Here is a 16,000-nt window from a genome sequence, read left to right on the forward strand (position 1 = left end):
CCATAGGAGTTTTAGCCAATTCAGAGGCCTTGCTGCCCACAATTTGGAAAATTCCTTTGGATTTGACCAAGTCAGGAAGAGACGGGAGAAAAGTGAAACAACAACAATAAAGCCCCAAGCATAAACAGACAAAAAGAGTTAAGCAAAACAACAAATGCACAATTCATATGATTACTGAGTGTTCTAATGGTAAGGAGAAACTAAAAGCAGAAATTAAAAGCAGCTGGTGAGTAATCTTAAATTTTAGTCATTAAGGAAAAATTTTAAGACAAAACTCTAATTCAGCTACTTACCTGGAAACAAGGCTCAGGCTGGGGATCGTTCTCTGCCATCTTAGAAGCTGGAAACAACTTACACTCACCTTCCCTGTCAGAAGCAAGCTGAAACTCAGGAAAGGAGGTGCCTGCTCTCCATCACCACAGAAGCAGGAAAACTTGCCTTCCTTGTTGGAAATGAGTAAAACTTCAGAAAAGGAGTTGTACAGCAAAATCAAACTTAGATCTCAACCAGATTTTGGGAGATCAGGGACTCTTTGCAGGGGAGAAGCTCCACAACCTCAGCAAATTATCCTGTTGGTTTGGGCAATAAAGATAGCCCAGGTTGGTAGCAATCAATAATGAGATTTATCAAAGGTCAGGACCACCTTTGTAATGTCCTTCTCTGTCTTTTTTTATCTTTATTGGTATATACGTTTTGTCGAAACTGAGGGTGTAACACCTGATTTCTTCTGTTTTCCATTGGCTTGAAAGATTTTTCACCATTCCTTCATTTTGAGCCTATGTATGGCACTGCAGGTGAGATGGGTTTCTTGGAGACGGCATACTCAAATGGGTCTTGGTTCTTTATCCAGCTTGCCCCCCTGTGTCTTTCAATCGGAGCATTTGGCCCATTTCCATTTAAGGTTAGTAATGGTATGTGTGGATTAGATCCTGTCGTCCTGCTGTCAGCTAGTTATTTTGCAGACTTGTGTGTGTGGTTGGTTTTTAGCATTACTGGTCTGTGTACTTCGGTGCATTTTTGTAGTGGCTGGTGATGGTCTTTTCTTTCCATATTTAGTGCTTCATTCAGGAGCTCTTGTAGATCTGGTGATAATGAATTCTCTCAGCATTTGCTTGTCTGAAAAGGATCTTGTTTCTCCTTCACTTATGATGCTTAATTTTGCTGGACATGAAATTCTGGGTTGAAATTTCTTTTTCTTTTAACCATTTATAATAACACCATGTTATTATATGGTATATCTGTCTCTGCCATACTACGTGAAATTTCTTTTCTTTAAGAAGTTGAATATCTTTTCTGGCTTGTAGGGTTTCAGCTGAGAAGTCTGCTAAGTCTGATGGAATTCCCTTTGCAGGTGACGTTGCCTTTCTCCCTGGCTGCCTTTAACATTGTTTCTTTCATTTTGACCTTGGAGAATCTGATGATTATATGTCTTGGGGATGATCTTCTCGTGGCTTATCTTACTGAGGTTCTCTGGATTTCCTGAATTGGAATGTTGGCCTGTCTGGATAGGTTGGGGATATTCTCATGAATGATATTCTGACGTATGTTTTCCAAGTTGGTTCCATTCTCCTCATCTCTTTCACGTACACTAATCAGTCATAGATTTTGTCGTTTATATAATCTCATATTTCTTGGATGTTTTGTTCATTCATTTTCCTTCTTTTTTCCCCCATTCTTGTCTGCCTGTTTTATTTCAGAAAGCCAGTTTTCAAGCTCTGGGATTCTTTCCTCTGCTTGGTCTATTCTGCTGGGTGGTCTTGCACATGAGATGGAGCTGGTGTGACCTCAGCCCTCCTTAGTCTGCTTGCCTCTCCCAGGACCCCAGCCTGGCCACACCTGCTTACAGGGCAATCTCGGGTGCCCACAAACACTACAATAATTTTCATAATGCAATCACACATAATCACTATGTGACTGCATTATGAAAATTCTTGTAGTGTGCTTTTCAGCTCTATTAGGTCGGTTATGTCTTCTTTATACTTGCTATTTTGTCTGTTAGCTCCTACAATGTTTTACAATGATTTTTAGCTCTGTTGTATTGCATGACAACATACTTCTTTCACTCAGTGAACTTTGTTCCTACGCATATCCTGAACCCTGCTTGTATCATTCCAGACATCTCAGCCTCAGCCCAGTTCTGAACACTTGCTGGAGAGTTGATACAGTCATTTGGAGGAAAGAAGGCATGCTGACTTTTTGAGTTTTCAGTGTTCTCACACAGATTCTTTCTCATCTTTATGGGCTTATCCACCTTCCATCTTTGAGGTTGCTGACCTTCGGACAGGGTATTTTTCTTTTATTGTATTTGATGATCTTGAGGGTTTCATTGTGGGATAAGGTGGATTCAACCAACTGGCTTTGTTTTTGGAGGATTTTAGGGGGGCCAATGTGCAGCTCCCAATTCCTGGACTTTGTGCTTTAACTCTGGGGAACTTGTCTTGAGCCCCAACTTTGTTCTCTGGCTCTTGGAGGTTTGGAGTCCACTGCACTGAGGGGACCAAAGTGTGTCAACTGTGGCAGAATGCTAGTGGATGCAAAAGTCCCTGCCTCCCTGCGGGCGTTCACCCAGTGGTGGAGGCAAGACAGCTGGGGTGTGGGCCAGGGGTCCCCTGCTGTGTGTGTGTTGCACTGGAGGTAGTGTTGGTTCAGGGTGGGCTGCTGGCCAGTGCAGGCCATGGTGCCTTCTCTGTGCCCCTCAAAGCAACCGTGGTCACTCAGGTTATAAGAAGGTCCCTTTTTCTCTGCACAGCATTAGCTCAAGGGTTAGGTGCTGGCAGGGGTGGGGTTCTTGGTTCTGTGCCCACCAAGGCTCTGTCTTCAATGGCAGTTGGTGTGGGTTGGGGTGTGTCCTGCACTCCCCTGTGCTGTCAGGGCAAGTACAGCAAAACCCACATGTGTAAACACACACAGCAAAGTGATGTAGGAAGTTTCCATATAAAGGGCTGCAGTACGGAGAGGTAATGTGCAGGCTGGTGCGTGGCTGTTGGGGCCACCTTGCTGCAGCTCTCCACTGATCAGGTACAGTCCACTAGCATGGAAGCTATGCTGTGGGCATCCGAGAGTGCCCTGTATGCAGGTGTGGCCAGGCTGGGGTCCTGGGAGAGGCAAGCAGACTAAGGAGTGCTGATATCAGACCAGCCCCATCTCATGTGCAAGACTGCCCAGCAGAGATCAGGTCTCAGAGGAGAACTCTCTCAAAAGTGAACCCCCGGCACAGCATAGCTGCTTTACACAAACATGGCCAGGCTTCTGTTTTAAGCAAGTCCCCTTTTTGAAGAGGGGAACTCTGGGACCTGATCTCTGCTGGGCAATCTTGAACATGAGATGGGGCTGATCTGAACTTAGCATTCCTAAAGTGCTGGGATAAAGTATCTCACAAGGGCACGTGGAGCCTAGAGAGATAGCTGTCCCTGCCCTCTGGGCTCCACATCACCTGACTTGCTGCTCCACCACTCTGCTTGTCTCCTGGGTGCTCCATCCCATAGAGATGTGAGTTAGCAATCACTTAGCGTAATCAGCCCAGGATGGAGGGTCTGTATTGTGAGGTCAAGCCAGTGTTCCCTCTCTGGTGATGAGCAGTGGGGGGTGTGTGGTACCCGTGGGAGATGGACTGGCTTGTTCATTGGGTCAACCGCAGCTTATTGGAGGTGTCAATATGGCACTTAGGGTCTTTGCTCCCTTGATATTCTGAGGGTAGAAAGGGCAGTTTCACTGCAGAGGCAATGGAAGAGAGAATTTCGTTTGCTCCTGGAAGCTCTGTCCAGGGAATTGCTGAGTTGCTACTGGCTGGATAGCTCTGATGGTGGACTGGCTGGAGACCCAGGTCAGTAGGACCTGCCCATCAAGTAGACTGTCTGGCCACTTTTCTGTCAGGCTGCTGTGGTATGCTGGGGGTCCCCTCCAGTCCCTAATTGCCTTGTATTTTCCAGGGAAGATGATAGCCTGCCCCTTCCTCTGGGAGCTCTGTGCCACTGAGGTACGAACTTGTTGCCAGTATGAACACACCTATAAGATGTGACTGGAGACAAGTTGAGAAGTCTTATCTAGTCAGGAGGAACAAAAACAGGCACTGACTTAAAAAAAAAGTCTGGGCACGTTTTTCTAGAGCAGCTGTGCTATGCCGGGTGTTCACTTCCACTCCTGGTTGCCTCAGACACTCTGAAGCCCTAATGCTGAAATGGCTGAGTTGCCCCAACAGCAAAGACAACAGTCTGGTCCTCCCCCTGGGAGCTCTGACTCAGGGAGGCCTGAAACCTCTGTCGGCCAGAGAACAGCAGTGAGGGCAGCTGGAGACCCTGGTTGAAAGCCTTCACCTGCTGATTAGAAATGTGGTCGGGGACTGACTTAAACAAGAGTCTGGCCACGTTTTTGTAGTGTGGCCGTGCTGCGCTGAGGTTCCTCTTCCACCCCTTGTCACCTTGGGCTTTCCAAAGCCCGCAAACCAGAACGGCTAGTCACCCAAACAGCAAAGGTGGTGGCCTGCCCCTCTCTCTGGGAGCTCTGTCCCGTGAACACTTCAAATTTCTATTGGCCAAGGAATGCTGGTGGTGGTAGCTGGAGGCCCCATTTGGGAGGTCCTGTACAGTGATGTGCAACAAGGTCGGGGGCCTGCTTACAGAAGCATTCTGGCCATGATTTGGTAAAGCAGCTAGCTGTGCTGTGGGATCTCTTCTGCCCCTTGTCGGTTTATACTCTCCAAAGCCCTCAGGCTGGAATGACTAAGTTGCCTGAACAGGAAAGATGGCGGCCTGCCCCATCTATTCTCTCAGAGTTCATCTTGTTTGATGGAGCTTAATTTTTAGCCTGTTAATTTTACTGTCTACATTAGACTTGTTCGGAAAGAATCTGCTATATTTTAGGTTAGATATATGAGAATTCATTGTTTTCTGTAAATAAACCTGTTCATGTCTTGTTCTCTGGAAAGAAATCTCTTTCAACTATCTGACTTTGGTCACAGTCATATAGAGCAGTAGCCAGTCTATAATGACATAATTGAATTTCCATTTCCAGTGTTTTGTTTTTGTGTCTTACATTGTACAGTTCAGAAATGAGCATTTTATTCCCAATTGTCAAAAAGCTAAGCTGTCCACTGTACTGAAATACTGTTTTTGTTAATGCTTCGTCATTCAATTTTTTAAAGGTGAACACTTTTATCCAACTTTTCTCACGTCAGAGTACAGGTAAGCCCTGGCTGCCTTGAGCCACTCTCAGGGAGACCAAAACCCTTCATACATTACAAGTTGGGGTACAAAAAAGTGGGGCCATGAAGGCTAGTCATTCAAAATAAAACAAAATTTGAAAGTATTAAGGCAAAGATTTAAAAAATTTTGCATTATGTAATTTACACAAAAGCAATGCTATCGCCTACCATGTGTGAACTCGGGAGAGGACTGGGCCATTCTCCTTAGAGAGAAGTAGGGTGGCTTTTAGGAGGGCAAGGGGCTTCCTGAAACAATGCATCTCACAATATTTGGAATGACTATTGAAAATAAGAACATTGTACAATCAAAGTCCTTGGCGACATTGTAGAACTAGCGGGTGCTGACCCCTGAGCCACAACCACAGTTCTGGGTTTGGGGTTTGGTAAAACCACCCCAAGGACAGAGTTCTGGGGCCGGGTTTTGGAGGAACCAAGGCGCCTCCCAGGGATGGTGTGTCACTCCTGCTTGCCATGAAATGTGCACACAGGCTGTCCCCCTGCCCATCCCATCCTGCTGGACAGGATGGAGGAAGTGAGGGAACAGGCAGGGTGGACAGCTGGAATTCAGGGAGAGGCAGGTGCATGCTGGGAGGTCAGGACCTGTGAGGGCTGTGGGGGCATCAGGTGGAGTGGGCTCCAGGTGCACCCTCAGTGCACAGGGCAAGTCTCAGGCCAGGCTCCCTGGACCCCGGCTGGGTGATGTGGTCACTCCCTGGGGGACTGCTGTCAGACCCTGGCCACCCTCCCTGGGCAGCACCGTCCCATCCCAGAACTGGACTTTCTGAGTCCTAAAACAGGACAGTGCTGCCCAGGCCTGACAGACTGGGAGGACCTGTGAAGTCCTCCATCCCTAGACCAGCCTCCCAACAGCAGGGACAGTCTCCTACCTTTACCTTCAGGTAAAGGTACTGATACATCTCATTCTAAGGCAACCAAGGCAGAGCTGAGGACCTGTGCCAGGCTGGGAGCCAGTCCTCTCCCTAAATGGGCCTTAGGGAAGCCTCATCCCTGTCCCAGTGCACTGCAAGTTTCAGCCCAGGAGACACATAGGGAAGTGAGGAAGGGGCCTCCCCACTGGCTGACCCTGGAAAAGTGGGACCTGGGAGAAGAGGGAGTGCAGGGCTGGCAGGGGATGCTCCAGGCCCATGGAGAGCTCAGGCTGCACCAAGGGGCTGCCCCTCCTGGGCTGGAGGCTGTGCTCTCTACAGTATCTGAGGAAGTCCAGTCCTGAGATGGGACAGTGCTACCCAGGGTGGGTGGCCAGCACCTGACAACAGTCTCCCAGCAAGTGACCACATCACCCGGCCAAGGTCCAGGGAGCCTGGGCCAAGACCTGCCCAGTGCGCTGAGGGTGCACCTGGAGCCCACACCACCTGACGCCCCCACAACCCTCATAGGGTCTGACCTCCCAGCATGCACCTGCCTCTCCCTGAAACCAAGCTGCCCAACCTGCCTGTTCCCTGGCCTCCTCCATCCTGTGCAGACCATAGACTGTGACTATCTCTCCGACCACTCTGGCCCTTCCTTTACCTTTGTCCTGTCAGAATCTCTGAGCAAGATCTCCCAGGTCCATCCAAACACCTGCTTTGTCCAGTTTTGACTGGGCCACTGAACACCACTGGGCCACCCCAGCTGTCCACAGGCTCCTCGATAACATGCATTTCCCCTGACATCTCCCAGCAGTACTCAGCAGCCCCCACTGACCAGGTCCCTGGTGACCAGATCCAGCATATCACTTCCTCCCTGACCACACCCTCACTGATTAGAGCCCCATCACCAGGCCTCACTAACTAGATTCCCGCTGCCAGGCCCACAATGACCAGGACTCCACTGACGAGGACCTTACTGACAAGGCCTCACTGGCAAGGCCTCACTGACGAGGTCCTTACTGACAAGGCCTCACTGATCAGGTTCCGCCGATCATGACCTCATCGTCTGGTCCCACAGACGAAGCCCCACTGACCAGGCCTGCAGGGAATAGGCAGCCAGTGACCAGGCCCCTGCTAACCAGGACTGAGGTGACAAGATGCCCCTGACTGGGACCCTAATGACTACGCCCCACTGAACAGGCACACACTGCTCAGATCCCCGCTGACCAGGTCACCCCGTAGACCAGTGCTACAAAAGCCACCAATGATCAAGTCCTCTCTGACCAGGCCCCCACTGATTAAGTTCCACGGACCAGCCTGCCCTGACCAGGGCCCCACTGACAAGCGTCTCTGCTGACTCGGTCCCAAGGTCTCCACTGACCAAGTCCCACAGCCCAGATTGGCACTGACCAGACACCAAACATTTGTCTACCACTATCAACCCACTCACCAAGACATACACTACTAGATCCCTCTAATGAGACCCGCTCTAAGCAGACCCCTGCTGACCACCCCCCACTAAATAGGCCTCACTGACAAGTCCCAACTGACTAGGTCCACTGAGCAGGCCCACACTGATCAGGCCCCTCCTAACCATATCAGAAGACCAAGAGGCAATGAGATGTTTCATATGGCAGGAGTAGGAGCAAGACAGAGAGGGGAAAGAGGTGTGACATCCTGTTAGACAACCAGATCACATGAGAACTCACTATCAGGAGATCAGCATCAAGAAGACTAACCAATGGTGAAGGATTCTCCAACCACACCACTGCCCACTGCTTCCAGGCAGAAGCCTCCTGCAGAGGCAGAACCTCTTATGAAACTTCCACTATGGCAGCGCAGAAAGAAAATATAGGCTTTGAGCCCCCACACAAGAGGCCACGATCCTCCAGACTCCAGATTAATAAGCCCACCAACAGCTCACACTCTCAGTATGGAAAAGCTACAGGCACTCAACACCAACCCAGCCCATGAGATCAGCCATGGGGGCTACACCCTGCAAAGCCACAGGTGCACTCTCCTGGTAGAGGTTTCCCATGAGCCTCTGCCTCTGCAGCAGGTTACTCCCACCTTCCCACCACCCTACTGACAACCTACTCCTCCCCACACTATCCCTCCTTTTCCTTCCACCCCAACCCCCTCCCATCCAAGATTAAGTCACCTCCCACCTGGCCCACCTCCAACATTAAGGATGACATGTGAGTTTTATAGGGACACACAGCCAACTCATATTATTCTGACCCTGATTCCCCAGAACCTCATGTCCTTCTCACAGAGCAAAACACAATCATGCCTTTTCAAAAGTTTCTAAAAGTCTTAACTCATTCCGAATGTAAAAATTTCAAAATCTCATCTGAGACAAGGTTACAGTCCCTTCTGCCAATGAGTCCCTGAATTTAAAAGGGATTTCTTTTCCTTCAAGGTAGAACAGGTATTGGATAAGGTTTCTCAATCCAAAGGGAAGAAGTTGCCCAGAAAAATAACACAAATGCAAGTCCAAAACCCAGCAAGACAGTATTCACTCAATCTCACAGCTCCAAAATCATCAAGAGAACTCACTGTCGTGCGGACAGCATTAAGGAGATAGAGTTTACTCATTTGTGAAGAATCTGCCCCCCACCCTCACCTTTCACTCCCTCCCACAAAATAATCTCTCCCATTCTCCCCACACCCCTACCTCCAACACCCACTCTTCTCCATGATTAAATCACCTCCCACCAGGTCCCACCTTTAACATTCCCCACTACAATTCCACATGAACATTGGTAGGGACACAGAATCAAATCATATTATTCTGGCTCTTGCTCCCCAAATCTTGTATCCTTGTCACACTGCAAAATACACTGATGATTTCTCTACTGTCCCCCAATGACTTAACTCATTCCAGCATTTACTGAAATGTACAAAGACTTACAGACCCCATGCAAGTCAAAAACCCAGCAGGCCAGTCATTGAATCCTACAGCTCCAAATCATCTTTTCTGAATCTACATCTCACATCTAGAGCACAGGTGTGTGATGCCTGGGCTTCCAAGGCCTTGGGTAGCTCTGCACCTGTGGCTGTGCAGGGTCTATACCCCACAGCTGCCCTCATGGGCTGGGCTGATGTTGAGTGCCTGTAGCATTTCCATACTAAGGGTGCCAGCTGTTGGTGAGTCTATGAATCTGGAGTCTGGAGAACGGTGCCTCCATATTTAGGGACTCCAGCCCTAAATTCTCCTTCTGTACTGCCCTAGTAAAAGTTTCCCATGAGGCTCTGCCTCTTGGAAAAGATTCTGTGTGAACACCCAGGTTCTTCCGTGCATACTCTGGAGTCTAGACAAAGGCTTGCAAGCGTCTAGTTTTGTGCTGTGTGCAGCTGCTGGCTTAACACTATGTGGAAACCACCAAGCCTTGGAGCTTGCACCCCTGAAGCAGTGATGCAAGCAGTACCTGTGCATCTTTCAGCCAAGGCTGGAGCTGGAGCTTCAGGAATGCAGCCAGCAGTGTCCTGAGGTTGGACATAGCAGTGGGGCCATGGGGCTGGAGAAGGAAACCATTCTTTTCTCCCAGGCCTCAGGGCCTGTGATAGCAAGGGCTGCTGCAAAAGTCTCTGAAATGCCTTCAAGACCTTTTTAATATTGTATTGGCTATTAGCACTGAACTCCTTTTTATGCACATTTCTGAAGACTTTTTGAACTTTCCCACTGATAATCAGCTTTTCTTTTTGGCCACTTGGCCAGGCTTCAAATTATCCAAACTTTTAAGCTCTCCTTCTCATTTAAATACAAGTTTCACCTTGAGGTCATTTCTTTGGTCACATATAGGACCACAGGCTGTTCGACACAGACAGGAAACCTCTTAAGCTTTGCTGCCTAAAATTTCATTCCACCAAATACACTCTAAATTATCACCCTGATGTTCAAAATTTCACAGGTCTCCAGGTTAGGGGCATCGTGCAGCAACATTCTTTGCTAAGGAAAAAACAAAAGTGACCTTGACTCCTGTTCCCAGCAAGCTCCTCATTTTCATGTGAGACCTTCTAAGCCTGGTGATCACTGTCCATCCTTCTGTCACCTTTTTAATTATAACTATTTAACAAGTCTCTACACTGATCCAAACTTTTCCTCATCTTCCTGTCTTCTTCCAAGACCTCCAAACTCTCCAACCTCTGGCCATTACACACTTCTCAACCTGCTTCTACATTTTCAGCTACGTTTGTCACAGCCTGGCAATGTGGTAAAAGAAGAAAAGTCCATTTCAGGAGAAAAATTAACGCAGGCTTCAGACATTTGCCTGAAAAGAAGCTGAGTGCTGATTGCCAAGAGAATAGGAAAAAGGCCTTGAAGGCATTTCATAGTTCCACTTTATGGCATTATTTTTCTGTATAATCAGAAAGAAAAGAGGTTGAACTGGCTCATGGTTCTGCAAGCTTTAAATAAATCATAGAGGCTTCTGCTTCTGGGAGGACTCAGGAAGCCTCCCAATCATACCAGAAGACCAAGCAGCAATGGGATGTTTTATATGGCAGAAGTAGAAACAAAACAGAGAGAGGAAAAAGGTGCCACACGTTGTATAACCCTGTTATACAACCAGATTTCCTGAGAACTCACTATCACAAGGTCAGTATCAAGAAGATGTTGCTTAATCATTGGTGAAAGTTCTGCCCCCTACCACCCACACCCCTCACTGTTTCCAGGCAGAAGCCTGAGGAAGAGGCAGAGCCACTAGGAAAACCTCTAATAGGGCAGAGCAGAAAAAGTATATGGGCTTGGAGGCCCCACACAGGAGGTTACCATCCTCAGACCCCAGATTCATAGACTCACCAACAGCTTGCACTCTCAGTATGGAAAAGCTACAGCCACTCAATAACAGCCCAGCCTATGAGGTCAGCCATGGGGGCTACACCCAGCAAAGCCATAGGTGCACTGCCCTGGTGGAGGTTTTCCTTGAGGCTTTGCCTCTGCAGCAGGCTACTCCCCCTTAATACTGCCCACGAACCTCTCACCACCCTACTGCCAGCCTACTCCTCCCCATCCTACCCATTTGTTTTCCCTTCCACCCCTACCAACCTCCCGTTTGTGATTAAATCACCTCCCAGCAGGCCCAACCTACAACTGTCAGGAATACAATTCCCCATGAGTTTTTGTAGGGAAACACAGCCAAACCATATTATCCTGACCCTGACACCCCCACATCTCATGTCCTTCTCACACAGAAAAATACAAACATGCCTTTTCAAAAGTTTCAAAAAGTCTTAACTCATTCCAGCAGTAACTCAAATGTAGTAAGTTCAAGTCTCATCCAAGACAAGGCTACAATCCCTTCTGCCTATGAGTCCCTGAATGTAAAAGACAATTCTTTTCTTTCAAGTTACAATGATGGCACAGGCACTGGGTAGGCTTTCTTAAACCAAAGGGAAGGGTTTCCTAGAAAAATAACACAAATGGGACACAGGCCCAATCCGACTCCAAAACCCAGCAGGACAGCATTCATTTATCACAAGAACTCACTGTCACACAGACTGCATTAAGGAGATAGTATTTAACCATTTGTGAAGGATCTGACACCCATCCCCATGTTTCACCCTCACCCACACCATGAACCTCCATTCTCCCACATCCCCCTTCCAACCCCCATTCTCTACCATGATTAAATCACCTTCTACCAAGCCCCACACTTAACATTCCCCATTATAATTCCACATGAGTTTTGGTAGGGACACAGAGCCAAATCGTATTATTCTCCCTTTGGCCCCCCAATCTCACATCCTTCTCATACTGCAAAATACAATGATGCATTCTCTACAGTCCCCCAATGTCTGAACTCATTCCAGCATTTACTCAAATGTCCATTTGTGAAGGATCTACCCCCTACCCCTGCCTTTCACCCCAACCCCACCACAATCGCCCCCAACCCTCCCCACCCCTTAATCCCCCCAACCCTCCCCACCCCCCAACCATCTAACCTCCACTCTTCAACATGATTAACTCACCTTCCACCAGCCCCCACCTTTAACATTTCCCATTAAAATTCTACATGAGTTTTGGTAGAGACAGAGCCAAAACATATTATTCTGTCCCTGGTCCCCCAAAGTTCATGTCTTTCTCACATTGCAAAATGCAATGAGGCCTTCCCTAGAGTCCCCCAAATCTTAACTCATCCCAGCATTTACTCAAATGTCCAAAGGCCAAAGTCTCCTCTGAGACAAGGCTGCCATATCTTCTGGCCTGAGCCTCTGAAATACAAAGCAAGTTAACCACTTCCAAGTTACAATGATTGTACAGGCATTGGGTAAGCATTCCAAGCCAAATAGAAGAAATTTCCCAGAAAGAAGCACAAAACACAGATGGGACTTACACACCCCCTGCAAGTCAAAAACCCAGCAGGCCAGGCATTCCATCATACAGCTTCAAATCATCTTTTTGGAATCTATGTCCACATCCAGAGCACAGGGTTTTGTGATGGCTGGGATCCCAAGGCCTTGGGCAGCTCTGCACATGTGGCATTGCAGAATCTCCCCCCTACAGCTGCCGTCATTGGCTAGGCTGGTGTTGAGTGCCTGTAGCTTTTCAACACTAAGGGTGCAAGCAGCTGGTGGGTCTATGATACTGGGGTCTGGAAAATGGTGCCTCCCTGTATGGGGACTCCAACCCTATATTTTCCTTTTGTACTGCCCGAGTAGAGGTTTACCATGAGGCTCTGCCTCTTGGAAAAGCTTCTGGCTAGACACTCAGGATTTCTGATATATACTCTGGAGTCCAGACCAAGGCTCTGAAGCTTCTAGTCCTGTGCTTTATGCACCTGCTGGCTTAACACTATGTGGAAGCCACCAAGGCTTGGAGCTTGCATCCTCTGAAGCAGTGACGCAAGCTGTACCTGTGCATCTTTCATCTATGGCTGGGGCTGGAAAAGGAGCTGCAAGGATGCAGGCAGCAGTGTCCTGAGGCTGCACACAGCAGTGGAGCCATGGGGCTGGGCCAGGAAACTATTCTTTTCTCCTAAACCCCAGGGCCAGTGACAGCAAGGGCTGCTACAAAGATCTCTGAAACGCCTTCAAGGCCTTTTTCCCATTGTCTTGAATTATTAGCACTGGGCTCCTTTTTATGCAAATATCCGAAGGCTTCTTGATTTTCCCCCTGAAAATCAGCTTTTCTTTTTGACCATTTGTCCAGATTACAAATTTTCCAAATGTTGAAGCTCTGCTTCTCATTTAAATATAAGTTCCAACTTATGGTAATTTCTTTCATCACACATAGGAGCACAGGCTGTTCGACGTAGGCCGGACAACCCTTCAGCTTTGCTGCTTAGAAGTTCATTCCACCAGATACACCCTAAATCATCACCCTAAAGTTCAGTTTCACAGATCTCCAGGGAATGGTCACTGTGTAGCCAATTACTTTGCTAAGGCAAAAGAAAAAAACCTTGACTCCTTTTCCCAGTAAGTTCCTCATCTTCATCTGAGACCTTACAAGCCTGGCCTTCAGTGTCCATCCTTCTGTCAGCCTTTTAATCATAACTATTTAACAAGTCTCTGCAATGGTCCAAACTTTCCCTCATCTTGCTATCTTCTTCCAAGCTCTCCAAACTCTCTAACCTCTGGCCATTACCCAATTTGGAACCTGCTTCTACACTGTCAGCTATCTTTGTTGCAGCCTGGCAATATGGTAAAAGAAGAAAAGTCCATTATCAGGGGAAACATCAAGATGGCCTCCAATATTTGCATTGAAAAAAGCTCAGTGCTAATAGCCAAGAGAATGGGGGAAACGCCTAGAAGTCATTTCATAACTTCACTTCACAGCATTAATTTTCTGTATCTACATAAAGAAAAGAGGTCTAATTGACTCACAGTTCTTCAGGCTGTAAAGAAAGCATAGTGGTTTCTGCTTGTAGGAGGACTCAGAAAGCCTCCCAATTATACCAGAAGGCCAAGCGGCAATGAAATATTTCATATGGCAGGAGTAGAAGCAAGACAGAGAGAGGAAAGAGGTGAGACAACCTGTTATACAACTAGATCTCATGAGAGCTCACTATCAGGAGATCAGCATCAAGAAGATTGTGCTTAACTGTTGGTGAAGGATCTGCCCACCTCCCCATATCCACCACCCACTGTTTCCAAGCAGAAGCCTGAGGCAGAGACAGATCCCCTTGGAAAACCTCTACTAGGGCAGTACAGAAGGAAAATATGGGCTTGGAGCCCCCACGCCTCCATCCTCCAGACCCAAGAGTCATGGACTTACCAACAGCTCACACCCCCAGTATGGAAAAGCTTCAGGTACTCAACACCAGCCCAGCCCATGAGAGCAGCAGCAGGTGCTAAACCCTGCAAAGCCACAGGTGCAAAACCACAGGTGCACTGCCTTAGTAGAGGTTTTCCATGAGCCTCTGCCTCTGTGGCAGTCTACTCCCTTCCTGCTACACACCACCCTACAGCCAGCCTACTCCTCCCCACCTTACCCACCTGTTTTTACTTCCAACCCCACCCCTCTCCCATCCATGAATAAGTCACCTCTCACCAGGCCCCACCTGCAACATTCGGGATTACAATTACATGTGAGTTTAGGTAGGGACACACAGCTAAACCATATTATTCTGACCCTGATCCCCCAAATATCCTATCCTTCTCACAGAGTAAAATATAATCATGTCTTTTCAAAAGTTGCCAAAAGTCTTAAGTCATTTCAGCATTAACTCGAATGTAAAAAGTTCCACGTCTCACCTGAGAAAAGGCTACAGTCCCTTTTGCCTATAAGTCCCTGAATTTAAAAGGGAGTTCTTTTCTTTCAAGGTACAATGATGGTACAGGCATTGGGTAAGTTTTCTCAATCCAAAGGGTAGGGGTTTGCCAGGAAAATAACACAAATGGAATTACAGGGCCAATGCAAGTCCAAAACCCAGGAGACAAGTATCCATTAAATCTCACAGCTCCAAAACCGTCACGAGAACTCACTATCATGAGGAAAGGATTAAGGAGATGCTGTTTAACTATTTGTGAGGGATCATACCCCCACCCCCACTTTTCACCCCTCACCGCCAGCATAATCCACCCATCCTCCCCAATCTCCATCTTGCAACACCCAGTGCCCTCCATGATTAAATCACCTTCCACCTGGCCCCAATTTTAACATTTCTGATTACAATTCCACATGAGTTTCCATAGCGACACACAGCCGAATCTTATTATTCTGTCCCTGCCTCCCCAAATCTCATGTCCTTCTCACTTTGCAAAATACAGTGATGCCTTACTTACAATTCCCCAAGCCACTATGCTTTTTTTTACAGCCTGCAGAACCATCAGCCGATTAAACCCCTTTTTGTTATGATCATACAGAAAATTAGTACTGTGAAGTGAAGCTATGAAACGCCTTCAATGACTTTTCCCCATCGTCTTGGCTAAGACCTCCAAGGTCTTAACTCATTCCAGCATTTACTTCAATGTCTGAAGCCCAAAGTCTCATCTGAGACAAAGATGCAGTCCCTTCTGTTCCTGAGCCTCTGAAATACAAAGAAAGTTAACTATTTCCAAGGTATGATTGTCCAGGCATTGAGTAAGAATTCCCACCCTAAAGGAAGATTTTTGCCAGAGAGAACAACGAAACACAAACGGGACTTACAGGTCCCAGGAAAATCCAAAACCCAGCAGGCCAGTTACTCAAACTTACAGCTCCAAAGTCATCCTTTTTTAATCCTTGTCCCACATCCAGGGCACAAGGGCATGAGGGCTGGACTCCCAAGGCCTTGGGCAGATCTGCACCTGTGTCTTTGCAGTTTTCAGTCCCCACAGCTGTCCTCATGGCCTGTGCTGGTGTTGAGTGCCTGTAGTTTTTACGCACAGAGTGTACAAAGCTCTTGGTGGGTCTATGAATCTGGGGTCTGCATATGGTGGCCTCCAGTGTGGGGGCTCCAACCCCATATTTTCCTTCTGCACTGCCCTAGTAGAGGTTTCCCAGGAG

At 47.7% G+C, this 16,000-nt stretch overlaps 1 long non-coding RNA gene across 1 annotated transcript in view; it reads left to right on the plus strand.

Moving 5' to 3' along the window:
• LOC105379854 (uncharacterized) overlaps positions 1–16,000 on the plus strand; it is a 71,606-nt gene that overhangs the window by 42,835 nt on the left and 12,771 nt on the right. The window contains exon 2 of the long non-coding RNA XR_001756120.3: positions 1–16,000. This exon is cut by the window's right edge and continues 11,142 nt beyond it. This is a non-coding gene — a long non-coding RNA (uncharacterized LOC105379854).

The sequence above is a fragment of the Homo sapiens genome, assembly GCF_000001405.40.
Source record: "Homo sapiens chromosome 1 unlocalized genomic scaffold, GRCh38.p14 Primary Assembly HSCHR1_CTG1_UNLOCALIZED".
Classification (NCBI taxonomy): domain Eukaryota; kingdom Metazoa; phylum Chordata; class Mammalia; order Primates; family Hominidae; genus Homo; species Homo sapiens.